Source organism: Homo sapiens, chromosome 4, assembly GCF_000001405.40.
Source record: "Homo sapiens chromosome 4, GRCh38.p14 Primary Assembly".
Taxonomy (NCBI): Eukaryota; Metazoa; Chordata; class Mammalia; order Primates; family Hominidae; genus Homo; species Homo sapiens.
Genome location: NC_000004.12, coordinates 86,060,326 through 86,085,055, shown reverse-complemented (window position 1 = coordinate 86,085,055; position 24,730 = coordinate 86,060,326). Strand labels below are relative to the sequence as shown.

Here is a 24,730-nt window from a genome sequence, read left to right as displayed (position 1 = left end):
ATTCTTCTGCATGTGGATATCCAGTTTTTCCACACCATTTATTGAAGGGACTGTCTTTTCCCCAGTGTATGTTCTTGGCACCTTTGTTGAAAATGAGTTCACTGTAGGTGTGTGGATTTGTTTCTGGGTTCTATCTTCTGTTCTATTGATCTATGTGTCTGTTTTTATGCCAGTATCATGCTGTTTGGTTACTATAGTTCTGTAGTATAATTTGAAGTCAGGTAATGTGATTTCCTCCAATTTTGTTCTTTTTGCTTAGGATAGCTTTGGCTGTTCTGGGTCTTTTGTGGTTCCATATAAACTTCAGGATTGTGTTTTCTATCTGTGAAGAACACCATTCGTATTTTGATAGGGACTGCATTGAATCTGTAGATTGCTTTGGGTAGTATGGACATTTTAACAATATTGGTTTTTCCAATCAATGAATATGTAATATCTTTCAATTTTTTGTTTCCTATTCAATTTTTTTATCAGTGTTTTATAGTTTTTATTGTAGAGATCTTTCACTTGTTTGCTTAAGTTACTTCTTAGGTATTTTATTTTATTTGTAGATATTATAAATGGGATTACACTTTTGATTTCTTCTTCAGATTGTTCACTGCTGTCATATAGAAATGCTACTGATTTTTGTATGTTGATTTTGAATCCTGCAACTTTACTGAATTTATCAATTTGAATAGTTTTTTGATGGAGTCTTTGCTTTTGCAAGCATAACATCATATCATCTGCAAACAAGAGTTACTTGACTTCTTCTTTTCCAAGTTGAGTGGCCCAGAAAGGCGGTCCAAGAGCCAAATCTTGAAATTGGTAACTCAAGAGCCTGCTTGGCACTCTACCCACACTGTGGCCAAGCTGGTACCTAAGGTACAAGACAAAGTCCCCTTTACTTTCCCTCTGCTTTTTTGTCTCGCCCCATAGTCACCACAACTGGGAATGTGCTGAGTCTCACCTGAGGCCAGCAAGTCTCAGAGTTTCACCCAAGGCCCTCAGCATAGTACCTGGGTATGCTGCTGGTTATTCAGGGACCAAGGACTCTTCAGTTAGCAGGTGATGAATCCTGATATGACTGGGTCTTTCTGTTTAAGGCCATGGGTTCCCTTCTGTCCCAGGGTGTGTCTAGAAATATCATCTGGGAACTGGGGCCTGGAAGGGAGGCCTCACAACTCTGACTGGTGCCCTAGCCTACTGTGGTTGAGCTGATATCCAAAATGCAAGACAAAGTTCTTTTCACTCTTTCCTTTCCTCTCCTCATGTGGATGGAAGAGGTCTCTTTTGGAGCCATGAGCTATGCACCATGGGGGTAGAGGAGGGGTGATGCCAGCACCCCCTTAGCTGCCCTGGCTGGTATCTCAGTAGGTCACATGCCCCAAAAGTCCATTGACTCTGGGCCCAGTTCAGGACTAGGACTTTCCTAGGAGTTGCAGTCCTAGTGACCTAGAAAGGCAGTGACCTGCCTTTCAAGTTTATTCTCAGCCTCAGAGCAGTTTAGCCTGCAGTGGTAAGGCTTGTGGGATCTCAAGTTCTGACTGCTGGGATTGGCGATTCCCCTCTGGCCAGGGCTGGTTTAAATGCTCCTTCCGTGGGCAGGTGTCAGCTGAATTTGGTTTGTTTTTACTTTCTGCTATAACAAGGGCAGCACTGAGTTCATTTCCTCACAAATGCTATGCTCTCCCTCTCCCCAGCACACGGAATTGTTGCTGGAGGATGGGGAAGGGGTGGCGCTGGCAATTAAAGACAGTTTCTCCTGCCTCTTCAGTGCTTCTTTCAGCAATGTGGAATTAAAACCAGATACTGTGAGTGGTCATCTGATTTTTGGTCCTTATGAAGGTGCTTTTTGGTGTAGGTAGTTGTTAAATTGGGGTCCTTTCAGGGGGGATGATTGGTGGAGCCTTCTATTTTGCCATCCTGCTCTGCCTCCCCAGACACGTCTTCTTAATATATGAACTAACTCAAGAACAAAACTTAAAATGTTAAAAAGATATTATATCTTTTATCTTTTGGGCCTAAAAAGGTTTAACACATTGTTTTTAGTAGGTATTTTAAGTATATGTGCCAAGTCTGTCCCGCAGACTCTGGCTGAGTGATGGATGACAAAAGTACTCTGACACAGGTATTTTGCCTGACAGCATGGCTAGATGGACTGCACCCCTTAGCACTGCCAATGAAAGTGCAGTGCAACCCAGAGTGCAGCCCCCATAAGCCTGTGACACTTGCATTTATTTAGTACAGATTTAATGACAAAGGATTGGAGCAAACACAATTTGTGGGTAATTAACTTTGCCAACCCCCTGAGTAGAGAGCAGTCCTGTGCAGGAATGATCAAAGGTTGGTTTCTGGAGACATAAGTAAACCAACTTATCTAGATAAGTTCCTTTACATTCCCTTGTTATCTACCCTTTGCCTTCAGGTTCTGGATAACAGAATTTGGCTGCCTTCAGCCATTTCTCCTTCGAAGCTTTTGCAAAACCTCCTGGCCTTCCAAGAAGGTTTGAGTCTTTCCCTATAACTTTTTCTTACAACTTTTCCCGCCACCCTGACTGAACTCCTACATATATGTTAATTGAATTTTATTCAATCAAATGTGTTTTTAATGCTCTACAAATGAATCAACATTTAACTGTTGGGATAATTTGGAAGGAGGGGGAGATGTAATGAATTTTATCATAGCTGACATTTTTACTTAAGAAATTATAAAATATTTTATATTAAACAAGTGAGTTAATATGAAATGCATAGCTTTTGAAGAAGATTAATAAATAGACACACATATGCTACCACTCAGGTTAAAAAATAGACCATTACCAATACTTTCAAATATTTTTATGTGCTCCACCTACCACAACCTTCCTTTTCCACACAGAGTTAGCCACAGTTCTAAATATTTCTTTTTACTATCTCTGTGACTTTCCTTATGTTTTTACTACCTGCATATTTATCCTTAAGCAATCTATGGTTTAGTTTTATTTATTTTACATACCATACTGTCATCGTTATCTTGTGACTCACTTTTTAAAAAATTAACATTATATTTTTTAGATTTATTCCTGTTCATGGACTGGACATAGTTAACTCATTTTCATTGCTGAATAGTATTTCAGTCTATGAGTATCTATAACTAACCCATTATCCTATAAGTAGACTTTGGAATATATACGGATTTTACTGTTTTTTTTTTTCTTTTATAAACCATGGTACTATAAATATATGCTTATAAGAGCACATGTGCAAGGTTTTCTTAATAACAATGCCAGGGGTCATAGGCATACACATTTTAAACTTTGCTGTGTAACATCAAATTGATTTCTAGAGTAGTATGTAGCTGTCTGCTCCACATCCTCATCAACTTTTGCCATTGTCATATTTATTTTTAAATTTGTTACCAATCCCTTGGATATAAAATACTATTTCACTGGAGGTTTAATTTACATTTCCTTGTCTACAAGGGAGGCTAAGGATCTTTTCCTGTGTTCATTGGCCACTATTATTTTCCCTTGGTAAAATATCTTTTTTATAAACAAAGAATGAACACATTTTTTTCTATTGTGCTTTTTTTTTCTGTTGATTAGTAGACATTCCTTATATAATTTGGCACCTAATTTTTGTGAGTTTTATGTGTTGCAAATATCTTCTTGTATTTGGATTATTTTCCCATTTTATTTTATAATAGTTTTAGAAGTTGGCAATCTGTCTTTTCCTATAATTTATATGTTTTATGTCTTAAGAATCCTTTTATAACATTATATTGTGCTATAACTTTACTGGAAATATTTTAAAGTTTAGTCTCTTACATTTAAACCATTAGTCCACATGGAATTGATTTTTTTGTGTATGTGTGAAAGAAGGACCTACTTTATTCCAGTTTCATTTATTGACTAACTTACTCTTTCTTCACAGATCTATAATTCTGTCTCTCTAATAAGTTTCCACATATTTGCAGGGGGATGTTAAGTCCTGGGCTGTATATTCTGTTCCACTGGTTTGTTTGTCTATCTCTGCACCATGAACACCCTTTCTTAATGAATATAAATGTATGCTCTGCACTTATATTAGGTAAGGTAAATACCTTTCATTTTTGTCATCTTCAGAATTATCTTGACTCTTAATGCACCATTGCTCTTCTATTAAGATTTTAGAATTGGCTTACTAACTTTAAAAAAAGATCCCTATTGGTATTTATTTTGGAGTCGTATTTAAAGCTCAATTTTGTATACAATGCTATTTTAATTAAGATGATTCTTTTAATCTTTCTTCTCAACATAAAAGGATCTTGGCACATGTTCATTTAGATAGTTGTTGTCCTGACTTAAATATGCTATCGATGTTCAGTATTTTAGTTTTCTTTTTAGGCTCATAAATTGACAATATTATGATTTTTTTGCATAAAGGTAGTTTGTTTAGATTCACCCTTATGATTGCCATTTGTTTGGCTTACCACTACTTCTTACATTTTGACCTTTTATTTTGAGATTATTATTTTTTTCTCCCGAAGTACGTATTTTGGAAGTATCTTTAGTGGAGTCCTTGATAATAAAACTCTTATTTTTAATTGAGGTTCCCTTACCTGAAATATAGTTTAGTTAGATATAGAATTTTACATTGAAATTTATTTTATTTTTGGCATCTTAAAGATATTATTCTACTTGCTTTTTGTTTACAGTATTGCTGGTAAATAAAGAGTTGTCAGTGTAATAGTCATTTTAGGAGATAATCTGCTCTTTTCCTTCATTTGGGATTTTTTTTTTTGGTCTTTGATTATCTGCTGTTTCTCTACTACGAGACTAGGCATGGATTTCTTTTTATTTATCTTCCTTGAGAGTCATTGTTTCCTAGATTCCAACCTTTATTCAATTACTGGAATTTCTCAGCTGTCGTTTCTTCGAATATTTTATTTTTTTCATTCTTTATATTATGTGTGTACAAAACTCTGGACATAAAATAGACATTCATTTATAACATAAATATTTTTGAGTACCTACTATGTACTGGGTACTTTTTGTCTCCAGAGATATATTAGTAAACAAAACAGATAAAAATTCTTATTACCATGATACTTACATTAAAAGGTGCAGAATACTAGAAGAAGGTGATAATAGCTGCAGAGTAAGAGAGACCAAAAGACCAAAATGCTAGCATGGGGGCAGGGATTACTTCTATCTTCCTTTTTAAATTTAAATATCAAAAGTTTTTTCAGCTATGCTTTAAGTGGCAGGTTTTCTTACCTCATATAAGCTTGATTGCCTCTTCTTAACTTCCATTGTATGTAGTGTTATATACAGAAGTGAAAGTATCTTTCCCGATTTGGTCTTACAGAACAGAGTACAGTGTCCTTAAATTTCTCTTAAGTAGATTCTATATTTCTGTTCGTGTAGGCTGTTTGTATCAGCTTCTTTGTTTATAATTATTTACCAAATTGAAAAGGACTTTAATATTTTTCAGCTTTAAAATAGAGATGCCAAATTACATGATCTCCAAGGCCTCTTCTCATTTTCAAAATACTATCACAGGCTGAGAGAATCAAATCCAGCATTTTTGAGGTCAGAATATCATACAACTGAAGGTGGGTGCTATTTACAAAAAATAAAATTACCAGTAAAAAATTAGTCTTGTAAGAGGCCTGTGCAAATGGAACACCCCAAAGATTAACCTTCAACAGCTTAATGAAAATTCTGCCATTGCTACACATATTAATATATATGTTACATGTCTCTCCATTTTTTTATTTGTAAGTAAAGATAGATTATAATAGTGAATAGATTTATAGCATGCTTCAAACAGCCTTTGGATATTCCATGTCCCTTATTATAACACTAGCAATGTGCTAGTGTCAGTGTACAAATAGCCTTTTACTTAATTTGCCAGCTTCATATTTTGGATGTGTTTTGGCTTATAATTCCTCTTCCTATGCTCATTTATAATTAAAACAGATGTTAGTTACAATTGTTTATTAAGTCACTTATTCATATTTCCTGTTACCAGAATCTGACAAGGACTTTTGAGAGGAAAAGAACATTTTCAAATAAAAAATACCCTAAAAACATTTTTCTTTTTCTTTTTTTGGGGGGGTGGGGGACAAAGTTTCACTCTCGTTGCCCAGGCTGGAGTGCAATGGTGCTACCTCTGCTTACTGCAACCTGTGCCTCATGGGTTCAGGTGATTCTCTTGCCTCAGCCTCCTGAGTAGCTGGGATTACAGGCATGTGCCACCACACCCAGCTGCTTTTGTATTTTTAGTAGAGACGGGGTTTCTCTATGTTGGTCAGGCTGGTCTTGAACTCCCAGGCTCAGGTGATCCTCCCGCCTTGGCCTCCCAAAGTGCTAGGATTACATGCATGAGCCTCTGTCCCTGGCCCCTAAAAACATTTTTAAAGAAACAAAACAATTAGAAACATAACCATGAAAATCTAGATTCAGAACTCTATCATATGTTTGTGTGTGTGTGTGTGTGTGTGTGTATATATATATATACATATGTATTTCCTTATACTTGTTTTTAGAAAAAAATTCTTTTAACAACAAATTTAATCACAAAGAACTATAATTAGTACTTTCCATGGGTACTACTCCCCAGGTAATAGCAGCATACAATTTCAGTTCTCCCACAGATGATGAGGGGCAGAATTCTTCTCCCTCTACTAGGAGACTGCATGTGCCACTTACTGTAATTTCCCATGGCCTTTGCAGGAAAATTACATGGGGCAAAGAAATAAAGATGAGCACTTTTCTTTCTCTGAGTATTCTCAGGTGAATGACCCCCAAGTTAACAAACAGGTGTGGAATAATCTTTTGGTGAATTTGATCCTATTCTAATTTGTGTCATAAAACTGAAACATGTTAGTATTTTACTCTTACATTTGGACTTAGTAACTCACAAGAGACTTTTTAGTATATTCTACATTAGTATTTCTCAAAATATAATCCCATCCTTGATTACAATTACCACTGGTGTTTTTTATGATATCAGCCCAGACCTGTGGACTCAGAATCTTGTAGATCAATGAGTAGGGAGGAGGGATATGTATTTTTGTAAGTTCCCTGCGTTACGAATATTCAAGTTTGGGAACCACAGTTTAATATAATGATGCTTAACACATGGCATATGTGCTTCAATTTCCTTATTGTGCATCTGTTGCAGACATTACTAACTGATCACAAAATTCTTTCCTACGAAGCTAATATAAAGCCACACAAGCCTACTCAACATTGTGCCTAAACAGCTGTTTGGCGTGCATGATAAAAGCCTCTCCTGGAACTATTCTATAACGACATTGCTATTAGGCAATATTGTCTTTAAGAACATAGCTAATAATTTAGAGATAAACACTGATGTTCTTTAAATTGCAAAGAGAGGTCAGAAAATTTTTGCACAAAGTATTGGATATAAGGCCTAGAGCAGAGTACAAAGCAAGTCAGAAACTATGAGGTGTTGGCTCTGGAAATCACATTCATAGTAACAAAAAGCAATCAATGATAGAAGAAAACATAAACAGAAGATATAGTCATTCAAAGGAAACAATTGGATGAGGCCATTAAATAGTTCCTTATGATTCCACTTAGTAAGTTCTGAAGGCTTAAATATGGATGGCATAAATTCTGTTCATAATTTTGACCCACAATACGCAGAAAAGGATTAGTCTTATAAGGGGCCTGTGCAAATGAGAGGCCCAAAAATTGCCCTTTTCATATATTATGTTCAAGGCATTATCGTTTTAGAAAGTTCCCTAACAAAGGAAGCTAAAGTAAGAGAAGTGCTTGAAATATAAGTTATTAGCTAATTGATAATATTAATTGGAAAAATTTTCAATCTTAGGATTTCAGATACTCATTTTTACTATTCATATTTACTTTGTTTTATTCTATTATAATACTATTTATTGAATACCTTAGTAATATCACATTTGTACATTATCTGGACATCATGCCCTACTTATAAAATTGAACTTCTTACAATATAACTCTACTTTTATGTAGTCAATTTAGAATTATATCAGGTGATTTACTGTCAAATAATTCTTATTAAATGCCATTTTTCCATTTGTATTCAATGCATTTCATAATTTATGTTAAGGGTGATAATTTCTGAAACAGCACATCAAAAATATAAAAAATATACTTATTGCTTTTCTGATAACCTCACAGGGCTAAGATCTGTAAATCCTTACTCTATGTGGTATAAAAATGGTAATTTATGGGTATTCTAAAGCAAATAAATTCTTCTACAAAAAATGGTTTTGGTCATTCTTTAAAAACATATTTACCATGTTAACAATTAATACATAATCATAAAATCTAGTTAATATTTTATGTACTTTAAAAATGTAATCCTTGTGGAAATCTGTTTTCCCATTTAAAAATCACCTTATTTTCTATATAAAATATTGATAAAATTAATTGTTTTACAGGAATATGTTGGCCTGATAGACTAAGGAAGGGGCTTCAGAAACATTCTTTAAGGGAGTTGCTTGTGACAAAACACACCATTAACTTTATGGCCAAATTAAAACAATTTTTTACCATATCAATTCCAAATTTACTTTTTCTTACTGGAATACTTGAAACAAGCACTGAACATGGAAACAGGAGATAGGAGTTCCAGTCTTCGTTTATGTTAGGTTAATTGTTATTATAAAGAAAAATCATGGGGAGGAGCCAAGATGGCTGAATAGGAACAGCTCCGGTCTACAGCTCCCAGCGTGAGCGACGCAGAAGATGGGTGATTTCTGCATTTCCATCTGAGGTACCGGGTGCATCTCACTAGGGAGTGCCAGACAGTGGGCGCAGGCCAGTGGGTGCGCGCACCGTGCGCGAGCCGAAGCAGGGCGAGGCATTGCCTCACCTGGGAAGCACAAGGGGTCAGGGAGTTCCCTTTCCGAGTCAAAGAAACGGGTGACAGACGCACCTGGAAAATCGGGTCACTCCCACCCGAATATTGCACTTTTCAGACCGGCTTAAAAAGCAGCGCACCACGAGACTATATCCCACACCTGGCTCGGAGGGTCCTACGCCCACGGAATCTCGCTGATTGCTAGCACAGCAGTCTGAGATCAAACTGCAAGGCCCCAGGAGGGCTGGGGGAGGGGCGCCCGCCATTGCCCAGGCTTGCTTAGGTAAACAAAGCAGCCTGGAAACTCGAACTGGGTGGAGCCCACCACAGCTCAAGGAGGCCTGCCTGCCACTGTAGGCCCCACCTCTGGGGGCAGGGCACAGACAAACAAAAAGACAGCAGTAACCTCTGCAGACTTAAATGCCCCTGTCTGACAGCTTTGAAGAGAGCAGTGGTTCTCCCAGCACGCAGCTGGAGATCTGAGAATGGGCAGACTGCCTCCTCAAGTGGGTCCCTGACCCCTGACCCCCGAGAAGTCTAACTGGGAGGCATCCCCCAGCAGGGGCACACTGCCACCTCACACAGCAGGGTATTCCAACAGACCTGCAGCTGAGGGTCCTGTCTGTTAGAAGGAAAACTAACAAACAGAAAGGACATCCACACTGAAAACCCATCTGTACATCACTATCATCAAAGACCAAAAGTAGATAAAACCACAAAGATGGGGAAAAAACAGAACAGAAAAACTGGAAACTCTAAAACGCAGAGCATCTCTCCTCCTCCAAAGGAACACAGTTCCTCACCAGCAACAGAACAAAGCTGGATGGAGAATGACTTTGACGAGCTGAGAGAAGAAGGCTTCAGATGATCAAATTACTCTGAGCTACGGGAGGACATTCAAACCAAAGGCAAAGAAGTTAAAAACTTTGAAAAAAATTTAGAAGAATGTATAACTAGAATAACCAATACAGAGAAGTGCTTAAAGGAGCTGATGGAGCTGAAAACCAAGGCTCGAGAACTATGTGAGGAATGCAGAAGCCTCAGGAGCCGATGCGATCAACTGGAAGAAAGGGTATCAGTGATGGAAGATGAAATGAATGAAATGAAGCGAGAAGGGAAGTTTAGAGAAAAAAGAATAAAAAGAAATGAGCAAAGCCTCCAAGAAATATGGGACTATATGAAAAGACCAAATCTAGGTCTGATTGGTGTACCTGAAAGTGATGAGGAGAATGGAACCAAGTTGGAAAACACTCTGCAGGATATTATCCAGGAGAACTTCCCCAATCTAGCAAGGCAGGCCAACGTTCAGATTCAGGAAATACAGAGAACGCCACAAAGATACTCCTCGAGAAGAGCAACTCCAAGACACATAATTGTCAGATTCACCAAAGTTGAAATGAAGGAAAAAATGTTAAGGGCAGCCAGAGAGAAAGGTCGGGTTACCCTCAAAGGGAAGCCCATCAGACTAACAGCGGATCTCTCGGCAGAAACCCTACAAGCCAGAAGAGAGTGGGGGCTAATATTCAACATTCTTAAAGAAAAGAATTTTCAACCCAGAATTTCATATCAGGCCAAACTGAGCTTCATAAGTGAAGGAGAAATAAAATACTTTACAGACAAGCAAATGCTGACAGATTTTGTCACCACCAGGCCTGCCCTAAAAGAGCTCCTGAAGGAAGCGCTAAACATGGAAAGGAACAACCAGTACCAGCCACTGCAAAATCATGCCAAAATGTAAAGACCATCGAGACTAGGAAGAAACTGCATCAACTAACGAGCAAAATCACCAGCTAACATCATGATGACAGAATCAAATTCACACATAACAATATTAACTTTAAATGTAAATGGACTAAATGCTCCAATTAAAAGACACAGACTGGCAAATTGGATAAAGAGTCAAGATCCATCAGTGTGCTGTATTCAGGAAACCCATCTCACGTGCAGAGACACACATAGGCTCAAAATAAAAGGATGGAGGAAGATCTACCAAGCCAATGGAAAACAAAAAAGGCAGGGGTTGCAATCCTAGTCTCTGATAAAACAGACTTTAAGCCAACAAAGATCAAAAGAGACAAAGAAGGTCATTACATAATGGTAAAGGGATCAATTCAACAAGAAGAGCTAACTATCCTAAATATATATGCACCCAATACAGGAGCACCCAGATTCATAAAGCAAGTCCTGAGTGACCTACAAAGAGACTTAGACTCCCACACATTAATAATGGGAGACTTTAACACCCCACTGTCAACATTAGACAGATCAACGAGACAGAAAGTCAACAAGGATACCCAGGAATTGAACTCAGCTCTGCACCAAGCGGACCTAATAGACATCTACAGAACTCACCACCCCAAATCAACAGAATATACATTTTTTTCAGCACCACACCACACCTATTCCAAAATTGACCACATAGTTGGAAGTAAAGCTCTCCTCAGCAAATGTAAAAGAACAGAAATTATAACAAACTATCTCTCAGACCACAGTGCAATCAAACTAGAACTCAGGATTAAGAATCCCACTCAAAACCACTCAACTACATGGAAACTGAACAACCTGCTCCTGAATGACTACTGGGTACATAACGAAATGAAGGCAGAAATAAAGATGTTCTTTGAAACCAACGAGAACAAAGACACAACATACCAGAATCTCTGGGATGCATTCAAAGCAGTGTGTAGAGGGAAATTTATAGCACTAAATGCCCACAAGAGAAAGCAGGAAAGATCCAAAATTGACACCCTAACATCACAATTAAAAGAACTAGAAAAGCAAGAGCAAACACATTCAAAAGCTAGCAGAAGGCAAGAAATAACAAAAATCAGAGCAGAACTGAAGGAAATAGAGACACAAAAAACCCTTCAAAAGATCAGTGAATCCAGGAGCTGGTTTTTTGAAAGGATCAACAAAATTGATAGACCGCTAGCAAGACTAATAAAGAAAAAAAGAGAGAAGAACCAAATAGACACAATAAAAAATGATAAAGGGGATATCACCACCGATCCCACAGAAATACAAACTACCATCAGAGAATACTACAAACACCTCTACGCAAATAAACTAGAAAATCTAGAAGAAATGGATAAATTCCTCGACACATACACTCTCCCAAGACTAAACCAGGAAGAAGTTGAATCTCTGAATAGACCAATAACAGGAGCTGAAATTGTGGCAATAATCAATAGTTTACCAACCAAAAAGAGTCAAGGACCAGATGGATTCACAGCCGAATTCTACCAGAGGTACAAGGAGGAACTGGTACCATTCCTTCTGAAACTATTCCAATCAATAGAAAAAGAGGGAATCCTCCCTAACTCATTTTATGAGGCCAGCATCATTCTGATACCAAAGCCGGGCAGAGACACAACCAAAAAAGAGAATTTTAGACCAATATCCTCGATGAACATCGATGCAAAAATCCTCAATAAAATACTGGCAAACCGAATCCAGCAGCACATCAAAAAGCTTATCCACCATGATCAAGTGGGCTTCATCCCTGGGATGCAAGGCTGGTTCAATATACGCAAATCAATAAATGTAATCCAGCATATAAACAGAGCCAAAGACAAAAACCACATGATTATCCCAATAGATGCAGGAAAAGCCTTTGACAAAATTCAACAACCCTTCATGCTAAAAACTCTCAATAAATTAGGTATTGATGGGACGTATTTCAAAATAATAAGAGCTATCTATGACAAACCCACAGCCAATATCATACTGAATGGGCAAAAACTGGAAGCATTCCCTTTGAAAACTGGCACAAGACAGGGATGCCCTCTCTCACCACTCCTATTCAACATAGTGTTGGAAGTTCTGGCCAGGGCAATTAGACAGGAGAAGGAAATAAACGGTATTCAATTAGGAACAGAGGAAGTCAAATTGTCCCTGTTTGGAGACGACATGATTGTATATCTAGAAAACCCCATCGTCTCAGCCCAAAATATCCTTAAGCTGATAAGCAACTTCAGCAAAGTCTCAGGATACAAAATCAATGTACAAAAATCACAAGCATTCTTATACACCAACAACAGACAAACAGAGAGCCAAATCAAGAGTGAACTCCCATTCACAATTGCTTCAAAGAGAATAAAAGACCTAGGAATCCAACTTACAAGGGATGTGAAGGACCTCTTCAAGGAGAACTACAAACCACTGCTCAAGGAAATAAAAGAGGATACAAACAAATGGAAGAACATTCCATGCTCATGGGTAGGAAGAATCAATATCGTGAAAATGGCCATACTGCCCAAGGTAATTTACAGATTCAATGCCATCCCCATCAAGCTACCAATGCCTTTCTTCACAGAATTGGAAAAAACTACTTTAAAGTTCATATGGAACCAAAAAAGAGCCCGCATTGCCAAGTCAATCCTAAGCCAAAAGAACAAAGCTGGAGGAATCACACTACCTGACTTCAAACTATACTACAAGGCTACAGTAACCAAAACAGCATGGTACTGGTACCTAAACAGAGATATAGATCAATGGAACAGAACAGAGCCCTCAGAAATAACGCCGCATACCTACAACTATCTGATCTTTGACAAACCTGAGAAAAACAACAATGGGGAAAGGATTCCCTATTTAATAAATGGTGCTGGGAAAACTGGCTAGCCATATGTAGGAAGCTGAAACTGGATCCCTTCCTTACACCTTATACAAAAATCAATTCAAGATGGATTAAAGACTTAAACGTTAGACCTAAAACCATAAAAACCCTAGAAGAAAACCTAGGCATTACCATTCAGGACATAGGCATGGGCAAGGACTTCATGTCCAAAACACCAAAAGCAACGGCAACAAAAGACAAAATTGACAAATGGGATCTAATTAAACTAAAGAGCTTCTGCACAGCAAAAGAAACTACCATCAGAGTGAACAGGCAACCTACAAAATGGGAGAAAATGTTCGCAACCTACTCATCTGACAAAGGGCTAATATCCAGAATCTACAATGAACTCAAACAAATTTACAAGAAAAAAACAAACAACCCCATTAAAAAGTGGGCGAAGGTCATCAACAGAGACTTCTCAAAAGAAGACATTTATGCAGCCAAAAAACACATGAAAAAATGCTCATCATCACTGGCCATCAGAGAAATGCAAATCAAAACCACTATGAGATACCATCTCACACCAGTTAGAATGGCAATCATTAAAAAGTCAGGAAACAACAGGTGCTGGAGAGGATGTGGAGAAATAGCAACACTTTTACACTGTTGGTGGGACTGTAAACTGGTTCAACCATTGTGGAAGTCAGTGTGGCGATTCCTCAGGGATCTAGAACTAGAAATACCATTTGACCCAGCCATCCCATTACTGGGTATATACCCAAATGACTATAAATCATGCTGCTATAAAGACACATGCACACGTATTTTTATTATGGCATTATTCACAATAGCAAAGACTTGGAACCAACCCAAATGTCCAACAATGATAGACTGGATTAAGAAAATGTGGCACATATACACCATGGAATACTATGCAGCCATAAAAAATGATGAGTTCATGTCCTTTGTAGGGACATGGATGAAACTGGAAATCATCATTCTCAGTAAACTATTGCAAGAACAAAAAACCAAACACCGCATATTCTCACTCATAGGTGGGAATTGAACAATGAGATCACATGGACACAGGAAGGGGAATATGACACTCTGGGGACTGTGGTGGGGTGGGGGGAGGGGGGAAGGATAGCATTGGGAGATATACCTAATGCTAGATGACGAGTTAGTGGGTGCAGCGCACCAGCATGGCACATGTATACATATGTAACTAACCTGCACAATGTGCACATGTACCCTAAAACTTAAAGTATAATAAAAAAAAGAAAAAGAAAAAAAAATAAAGCCCTTCAAGTGCTACAAAAAAAAAAAGAAAGAAAAATCATGTGCTCAACTAAATTGGACATAGTTGTTCATGTTTGTATTCTATGAACATCTAGAAAACAAGTACTTACCATATGTAGATATACACACACATATGTTTTTGGGAAGAAAAATCTTGAAATGGATTGGTTAAAATAAAGACACAGACTTTTAAAGATCACTGTAACTCAGATTTGCAGTATGAACATTTAACTATTTCATTGACAATGATAAAGATTTTTGCCACCCTTCTTTTTGTAAACCATTGCATCAAGAATCACAACAGTGTTTCATTTAAAAGCAACCTAAGGTAGGAAAGAGCGCTGAGTGTGTCTCTAGATTCTAATTATGATTTATTACAAGAAACATTTTAACAATTCTTATTTAACAAATTCCAGAATATCTGACTCTCCTTAAACTTTAATATAAAAGTATCAGTTTTTTTTGTTTTGGGAGTACTTCTTTAAAATCAATTATTTACTGTATATCTTTATAATTATAGCAAATGTAATTAGGATATAATACTGTGTTGGGATTATTTTGCCAACTTTGTTAAATGACTTATTTACAGAAAATCTGACATCTTCTTTGCCTCTATTTTAAGTTTGACATCGAGTGGTTAGAATTTTGAGGAAGTTTGATCAATGATGAAATGATAGCTTGGTAGGGCATGCTAACCTAACTGTTTAAAAAATGTCTCTTCATAATTTATAATGACAAGCACTTAGGTTTTATTTAACTACACTAATGTATTCTATTTAAGTATGTCTAAGTACTTATAGCTTACCTATATCCATAGTATTAATACAGGCTCATGTCTAAGAGTAATTTGTAACTCTAACCTTATATAATGTTTTAGTTTCATTATTTCTAGTGATTCTGAATTACTGCTGTATTTTCTCATGCACATGATAATTAGATGAGCTTCTATCAAAGCATGTTCTTGTTTAATTATTACTACTGCTTTATTAAGGAATATTATTGTTTTTCCCACCTTCATTTCATATCTTCATAGTCCATGGTTATATATTTTTTATTCCAATAACTGACAGAATATGTAATAATTTAAGTTTTATTCAGCCAGATTATAGAGATGAAGAAAAGGATTTGCAAATTAGTTTGATTTTATCTTTGTTCAATCTCCTATCTACTGTTTGTATTATATATTTCTTTTTGTTGAATACAGTTAAGTTTATCTTTAATCAGGACTGACAATCTTTTTCAGTCCAAACCTCTTGAATAGCTAGGAGTAAAGACTTGACAAACTTCAACTAAGTAATATTATGGTAAGAGTCCCTTAACTGTCACACCTTACCTTAGTGGAAATGAGTTAACTAACTTAACACCAAAGAACAGTTGTAGAAGAATAAGCAATGTAGGAGAGAATACTGCTTGCAGTATTGGATTTAAGGGAATTTCCAAGATCTCTATTATTCACTGGCACATGGCGAGGAAATCTGTTTAAATCAGTTGTTTCCAGTTGGTTCTTCAGAGTAGATGGTGTTTATCATTATCAAGGCTCTGATATATCGAATATTAATGACAGATAAAAAAGAGAATCTCAATCATTGAGTATGTCTGCAAAAAGAGCTAGCTCCAATTTAAAAGGGTATTAATTTTCATAGAGAGGTAATATTTTTTCTGTGGTATTCCCCATGCTTAATGTACTTTCTAAACTTGGATGTACTTGGATAGAAATCTGTTGTTTTAAATTGAATATTCCTCTGTTCACCCTTATATTTCATTGAAAACAATATTCAGTGATATCATCAGTAAAACAATAGGTATGAAATAGGTGGCTTCTTTGTTTAATAAATATGATTTTTAGGAATCTGACAAAGAACTAATGAGTTGTTTTACTATAAAAGTTATGTTGATATGCATAAAAATAGAAAAAAATTCCAGATTTTTAGAGAAGAAAAAATATCTTAAAGATAGTTTAGGAAAATGTAAATGAATATAATCTAAAATATTTGTGTATTTGTCATTTTAAAAATATAAATAATTGAGGTAACTTCAGGATAAAAATGTCACTATGATGTGTCATTATATATTTTTCTTCTGAATCACATGATTTATATAGAAGTTTATCTGCAGAATATGAGATTCATCTTGTGTTATCTGAATGACTTTTTATCTGTACACCCCAAAGACTATTTCATGATATCTTATTTTGTTAAATAATTGCTAGTTTTCCAAAAGTATATAAGTTTCAAAAGTGAATTTAAAATTTCAAGAAGACTCATAGCCTGCAAGTCTGATTTTATATTTTCATTCTTTGTTGCTTATTAAAACTACAGTTGCATTAATGACTGTTGAGGACTTTGAGAAGAGTTAGTCTCCCAATTGTTGAAAGGCTAGTGGTCTGCTCTTCTTTTTTCCCTTAACTGTTCAATTCTCAGATATTGACCAGTGGAATAAGGTAATTGAACAACTAGGAACACCATGTCCAGAATTCATGAAGAAATTGCAACCCACAGTAAGAAACTATGTGGAGAATCGGCCCAAGTATGCGGGACTCACCTTCCCCAAACTCTTCCCAGATTCCCTCTTCCCAGCGGACTCCGAGCACAATAAACTCAAAGGTATGCCCTTCAGGAATGACTTGAGGACAACTATGAGGGTGACGGGCCAAACAAGCACACAGTATAGAGACCTCTATCTCTTTCTCTTTGTTCCCTTTTATTTTTAGTTGACACATGATAATCGTACATTTTTGTGGGATATAGGGTGGTATTTTTGAAACATGTATAGAGGTATAATGGTCAAATCAGAGCAATTAGCATAACCCATCACCTAAAACATTGATCAATTCTTTAATTGGCACAGCCTCAAGTTAAAGAAATATTTCTTCAAAGATCGTTCCTACAAAGGGGAGTAGCCACGGATTTTAGAATTGTCTGGATATTCAGGGCCGGGGGCGGTGGCTCAAGTCTGTAACCTCAGCACTTTGGAAGGCGGAGGCGGGAGGATCAAGAGGTCAGGAAATCGAGACAGACCATCCTGGCCAACATGGTGAAACTGCGTCTCTCCTAAAAATATAAAAAAATTAGCTGGGCATGGTGGCACACACCTCTAGTCCCAGCTACTCAGGAGGCTGAGGCAGGAGAGTCGCTTGAACCTAGGAGGAAGAGGTTGCAGTGAGCCGAGATCGGGCAACTGCATTCCAGCCTAGAGATAGAGTGAGCAAGACTCCGTCTCAAAAAATAGATATATATTATACTTCATAATGTAATTCCAATTTTCTTGAGTTTACTTTTTAAATCAATTTGAATCTCTGCAATTATGTTTGTAAATGATAAACTAGTTTGCATATTTGATTATTGAATTTAATTTTTAATATAAAATTGGCAAATTATAAATAATCTTAATATACAAATAACCAAAGAGAAGAATGTATTCTACTGTGTTTGGAAAAGAGCATAACACATTTGCTTTCAAATGAAAGAATGAAAGATAAAGCATTGAAACATTTTCCCATATTGTTTCCTAAAAATAGTATTGTTTCTTAGCAAGATGATTTTGTATTGGTGTAGTTCATGACCCTATTCATGAAGAATCCATTGTAACCCCAGCCCTTTCTTTTTTTTTTTTTTTTTTTTTTTGAGACAGAGTCTCGCTCTGTCGCCCGGGATACCGATCTAGGCTCACTGCAAGCTCCGTCTCCCAGGTTCACTCCATTCTCCTGCCTCAACCTCCCGAGTAGCTGGGACTACAGGCGCCCGCCACCACGCCCAGCTAATTTTTGTATTTTTAGTAGAGATGGGGTTTCACCGTGGTAGCCAGGATCGTCTCGACCTCCTGACTTCGTGGTCTGCCTGCCTCGGCCTTCCAAAGTGCTGGGATTGCAGGTGTCAGCCACGACCACGCCCGGCTAACCCCAGCCCTTTCTAAGAGCAGAAAAATGGATAGATTTGATGAGAGAATCTTATGAGAATGGTACATGAATTTGGATGTAAAATCAGTTACAAATTAAAGAGGTCTTTAAAGCAATGAATAAATAAACACAGCCCTGTTAGGCTATTAGGAGGCCATTGGCAATGAGAAAAATTAAATATTGAATTAATGTATAAGTATTTCTGTATTTTTGTTATTCCTGTGCGGTACAGAGTTTTAATTTGAAAGTAATGATAATCAGTTTCTAGGATTGAGTTTCCCAGAAAAATGATTAATAGAAATAAAAAATTCTCAAGTTTAACTAGTGATTTTTCATATTTGTTCAGAAAATTAAAAGATATATTTATTGATGTAATTACCAAGAAAATACTTACAGGTAAAAAATTAATTGCTACATTTTAACTATAGTATGGTTAATATTACGTGAAAAATACATGAACGGCACTAGAAAAAATATGCCAATAATCACAGTCATTGCCTCTAGCTAGTGGGGTTAGATATTATTTCCTGATTTTTGTATTTTATATAATTTTCAAATTTGTAGAATTAGCCAAGTTGTTTTAATCTGAAAAATTGATTAAATAAAAATTGATATGTATCCAGAGTCATCTATGTTGATTTTTTGAAAAATCCATTTAAATTTTGTTATCTTTAATTTGATGTTTTACCATATAGTTAGAATAAACTGAATATTTTCACGGTTCAACTTTCAGATCAGTTGAGTAACAATATTGATTTGAGATATTCATTTCTGTTAAAACTTTATGTAAAAGACTAGGGGAGGGATAGCTTTAGGAGAAATACCTAATGTAGATGACAGGTTGGTGGGTGCAGCAAACCACTATGGCATGTGTATACCTATGTAACAAACCTGCATGTTGTGCACATGTATCCCAGAACTTAAAGTATAATAATTTAAAAAATTTACATATTTTTAGAGGTTAAAATTAATGTGTCTTTTAACAATCTTACTAAATAAATAGCTATCACCATATAATTTTATAACTGTTACTGCCCACAACCATAAAATTAATTATGATAACCTTTACATAATATAGAGTTTCTCATTAGTGTCTGGTGTAGCATTAGACTGGCTTCAGTCTTTAACTACTGGATTTCATCAAGTCATGATTCCATTGATTAAAAATACCTGATGATTACAGAATGTTAAAATAAAATTCAGTAGTTGAATGATATTATTTCTATCACTTCAATTCTTTGATTGTTTTTATGTATATAAGAAATTTGTGGCTGGGAGCAGTGGCTCACTCCTTTAATCCCAGCATTTTGGGAGGCTGAGGTGGGAGGATCTTTGAGCCCAGAGTTCGAGACCAGCTTGGGCAATGTAGGGAGATCTTATCTTTACAAAAAAAAAGAAAGAAAGAAAAAATAGCCAGGCATGGTGGTGCATGCCTGTAGTTCCAGTTACTCGGGAAGCTGGGATGGGAGGATCCTTTGAGCGCAGGAGTTCCAGGCTGCAGTGAGCTGTGATCATTCCACTACACTCCAGCCTGGCAACAGAGGGATACCCTGTCTCAAAAATAAATAAATAAATAAATAAACAAAAACAAAAAGAAAAGAAAAATTTGTATGATACAAACTCTTAAGTCAATTTATATACTAAAATTCTGATAATTCCGTTGTATAAATAAGAATATAGAGACACACGTGTTGATTAACTTCAAACAGCCGTCCACACATTTGTTGAACATCATGCATTTGCACTCTGTGCTCTTTATTCTGTTTATCCTATATTCATGCAGGTTACCAAAGAAGATGACTTTGCTTACATAAACTCTCCAGGTTGATACATTTTACTAAGAAGTTTGCGTGAATAATTATATACCCAAAGTGTTACAACCCTTGGAGAGCCTCAGAATGAAGCCTTAGGCTTAGAGACACAAAGAAACAGGTGTAAAATGCATTTTCTTTTCCATCACATCAAGGGATTTACCTGATGTTTGGAAGGAAGATACTATTCCATACTTTGTTTTCTTAAATTTCCTCTCTGACAAATTTCCTTACTGAAATCAAAATCTTACTAATTGTTTTTCTCATTTATTGTTTCAGCCAGCCAAGCCAGGGACTTGTTGTCAAAGATGCTAGTGATTGACCCAGCAAAAAGAATATCAGTGGACGACGCCTTACAGCATCCCTACATCAACGTCTGGTATGACCCAGCCGAAGTGGAGGCGGTAAGAAATAGGCTGCCTTTACTTTGCTTCCACAAACAAATCATAGCTCATAGCAAAAACTGAATAGGACTAGAAGCCTAAAGAATGCACAATGGATTTTTATAAAATTTCTAAGTCCAAAGCCTATTATCTGCCCCTCTAAAAGCTATTTTCTTCAACATATGTTTTAAATACATTTTTTTCAGGACTTACTAGAAGAGGGTATGATTTAGTCCTACAAACCTTAGATGTCCATGATACACTACCATTTGTTTCTGTTAAATTGCCAATACTTGTGTTTCTTCTTGTGTGTTTGACTGCCAGTCTCTTCTAATGCAAACTTAGTGGTAGGAAACAACAGAGGACAAGTTGCTTAGCTTGTATTTTTTTTTTGAAAAGATACCTGCCACTAGTAAAATGTGATACTTAAGAATATTTCAATTAGAAAGCTTTTATAAGATGATTAAAACGATTGGTGGCTTTGTGAAACCTTGCATGAACTAGATGAACTAGAAGTGGGTATTTCAGTAAGTACATTACTTCAGGTTGATCAGTATGATGTATCTCCATGTCTGATACCCAGACATGGAGAATCTTCTCAGAAGCATAACTCTTTCTATTTTAAAAATATTTTTCAACCATTTACTATCTTCTGTTCAACCTCTTTCTTTCATCTTTACCTCTCTCCTTTCCTCTGTATGGATCCAGGGCTGAGCAGGGCAAGGGGGGCTTGCTGTTGCCCATGTGTGTTCTATAGGCCTCCTGATGAGAATTTCCTTTCTGCACTGCCTTTAAATGTTTCTATCAGGAATGTTACCTTCTCCCTTAAACATGAGAAGCTTCTCAAATTCTTAGAGTACCTGTGCTAAAGCATCTCATATTTTTTTACATAATACCTTCCAATCCATTTGTTTGGATTTGTTCTTAATCTTTCATTTGAAATACTGTTTGTTTCCCCAAAGTATTCTTAAAGATATTTTCACTTTCTTTCAGTTTTCTTTCCTCTGCTTCACCATGTGTTTTTCCATGTCAGAGGTGCTAGATTCAAACACATAATTCTCATTTCTTCATTCTTCACTAGAGAAGATACGAAAGAAAGTGAGAACTAGGTAGAATTGAACTTTACAGACACAATATTAAACAGGTCCTTTTCATAATGTAACCCAATCTTTAAGCATTTAAAAACTTCAGAGAAAACACTTAAGTGATTAATGAATCTCCCAAGTGTGAAGACTGCACTACATTTTGTTTAAGATCTGCTCTCTTAGTTTTACAATGATGTTGAGATTTCATGTTGCCTCAAGTTAATTTTTAGTCATTTTATTTGATTCTTACCAAATAATATCCCTACAATTAAATATTTCTGAGTTTAATTATAATGTTCTAAAAATTAATATATATTCTTACAACCAAAATATAGAACCTCTTCCAGTCTCCCACACTTGGGAAATACTTGCACAGATGTTCTTGGGATGGAATGAAGTAGTGAAGTAAGTGAGAGAAAGTATGATGTATATGTTTACAAAAATTAAGTATAAAAATTTTATCTCTGATGAAATTCAAGAAAATATTTTAGGTTATGTTGATAAACATTTTATATAAATATGTATTATCTGAAATTGTTTCTCCTCATTTATTTTGAGGCATATTAACTTATGCCTCACTATGTGGCATATTTATTTTTTCTTATATCTAACTTAATATGTATAATCTGTTTTTAATGCATTGTGGCCTAGAGTTTAATTAGAGTCATAAAGTCTGCATTTGTAATTCACTTTTAATTATGTTGCCTATAAAAGAGATAGTTGCTTGGAATCTATAACATCTTACTGAATAGTATCAATGAGTTTTTAAATTTATTTTAACTTTTTATGAAAAACTTCTTTGTAGAATGAAAAGATAAAATTTAGGATACTAAAATAGCTGGAGCCTTTTTCTTAACCACTTTGATATTGGTCATGCTGGGGCACGGATAGTAACAAGGCAGGATGTATGAATTTTAGGGGAAGGATCTGATAGAGCCTGCAGTTCCAGAAAAAGAAGACAGTTAATGCACAGAACAAGCAAGTACTTGACATCTAGACTCAGATCATTGATTATACAAGGGTAAACATGTCTTACATCTAGACATGTTGTAGTGAAGAGATGGGAATCATGATCCCAGGGCAAGAACAATTTATTACTCTATGAAGTGCATTACAGTGGTCACAACTAAGAAGAGAAAGATCCTGAAGGTGCTAGAATCAGTAGTCAGCTATGCTTTCTGCAATATCCTTAGAATTCATGTCTCTGTTATTGCATATGAACATGTGTTTAACATAAGATAACCTTTCTCTATGGACACATGGCAAAGCTATAATATAGTGATATATCTTCTGCCGGGGCTGACAAGACTGTTTTGCAAAATATACCCCCGTATGTCTTTATAATCCAAATAAATGGAAGTATCAAATAATTGGGATTTTTATTCTGATCAAAGAGCTTTCAAGTAACTCACATGCTGTTAGGGAGGGAAGGAAATTCAAAGATGAGAGAGAAGAAAAATAAGTTTCATTGGATGGAAATAATGGCAAGTGGATAGGGGATAAAGAACAAACTATGATAAGGTGATATTTAGAGGAAAAGTCAAAAGAGTATAGATATGCTATGTGTGCTAAGCTATTAGTTATACTACGAGCTATCTTATCATGTTTCCCAAACTACCAAAGTACAAAAATCAAGAGAGAAGAGCATATGAATGAATGTTGTCATAATTCTGAGAGGGAAAATTAGTCATGTACACATGAGTTAGAAAATTTTAAAAATTGGATGCCAAGCTCAAGAGTAATCCATCTGTGTAGTAATAGTACATAAATATTTTGAAATAACTGCTCAAATTATTAGCAACTTCTTATTCAAATAATGTTTAGAGTAACAAAGTGTGATTTCAAAGTAGAACACACAAATCGTGTATAATGTCAATGCTTTTTCATGAAACAAATAGAAGATGCTCTAACTCTGGTTCAGTATTCATCAAGAGGGCAAATATATTACACACAAATGTAATTGGTTGACTTATTTGCATCTTCATAGGTATGAAAGATGAGTTAGGTTTAAATTTCTGCTCTTCCCATTACTAATTTGCTTTGATCAAGTTGCTTAACCTTTCTGCAACTCAGTTTTCTAAACTAAGAAAGTTCTCCTTTCTTATCATATGTACAGCATAGCATTCTGAGATTTTGAAAAGTTAAAGTGCTTAGCAAATGCTTGGGAGTCAGTAAGAATCATGTAAATTATTCTTACCCTTATAATACTTATAATTACTATTACTATTATGACTTTTACATGCATAGCTTTACTATCTTTTGATATTTGAAAAAGATATATGCGTCTGGTGAAAAAGACTAGCTGGCCAGGAAATTGCAGAAATATTCCACAACATTTCTTTTTTGAACAATGATGACAATGATCTATTTCCCACATGATTTTAGGTCCATTTTTTTCATTTTCTTTTGTTTAATGTATACCTACCTCTTCTTTGCCAGGTAGAAGAAAATCTAGTGTCATTAGTTTAAACCAAAATAAAGACACATTATAGATTCCACAAATCTTGATTATCAGTAGGAGATTTTTGGGATTTTGGGGGGAACTCAGTTTAATATCTTCCTTGTGCCCTGTTGGAAGAAAATACAATGTTCATGAAGCTTTGTTGCCTTATCTCTTACCACATTACTGAGTTTAGGCACCCTGCTAGGATCCAGTGGTGGCTTTACCACTGAGAGTGGAGCTACAGATAAGCCTTAAGGAGCATCTGGGTGAACTCCAAGCTAAGGAAGAGTTGATTAACTATTTCTCAGGGCACAGAAGAAGAGGAACATAAGCTGTAACTATTTTTTTTAAATAGCTTTATTTCTGCCAGAAATTTCAGAGCACTTCAAGAAAGCTCCTGAGTGCAACGGCCTTACAAAAGGCTCCATTTTGT

The 24,730-nt window shown here is 36.0% G+C and overlaps 1 protein-coding gene across 10 annotated transcripts in view, besides 2 other annotated features; it reads left to right on the top strand.

Moving 5' to 3' along the window:
- MAPK10 (mitogen-activated protein kinase 10) overlaps positions 1-24,730 on the top strand; it is a 583,670-nt gene that overhangs the window by 509,019 nt on the left and 49,921 nt on the right. For all 10 annotated transcript variants that reach the window (XM_047415964.1, NM_002753.6, NM_138982.4 and 7 more), the window contains 2 exons: positions 17,101-17,283; positions 20,666-20,790. In XM_047415964.1, the coding sequence (XP_047271920.1) occupies positions 17,101-17,283; positions 20,666-20,790 (308 nt within the window). The remainder of the gene's footprint in view (positions 1-17,100; positions 17,284-20,665; positions 20,791-24,730) is intronic.
- Positions 8,373-8,942: an enhancer, noted in NCBI's record as "NANOG-H3K27ac-H3K4me1 hESC enhancer chr4:86997267-86997836 (GRCh37/hg19 assembly coordinates)". NCBI's record gives its function as "activates a minimal SCP1, AML or CMV promoter by ChIP-STARR-seq in primed H9 embryonic stem cells {active_cell/tissue: H9 hESC(primed)}" and the evidence as "EXISTENCE:reporter gene assay evidence [ECO:0000049][PMID:30033119]".
- Positions 8,943-9,513: an enhancer, noted in NCBI's record as "NANOG-H3K27ac-H3K4me1 hESC enhancer chr4:86996696-86997266 (GRCh37/hg19 assembly coordinates)". NCBI's record gives its function as "activates a minimal SCP1, AML or CMV promoter by ChIP-STARR-seq in primed H9 embryonic stem cells {active_cell/tissue: H9 hESC(primed)}" and the evidence as "EXISTENCE:reporter gene assay evidence [ECO:0000049][PMID:30033119]".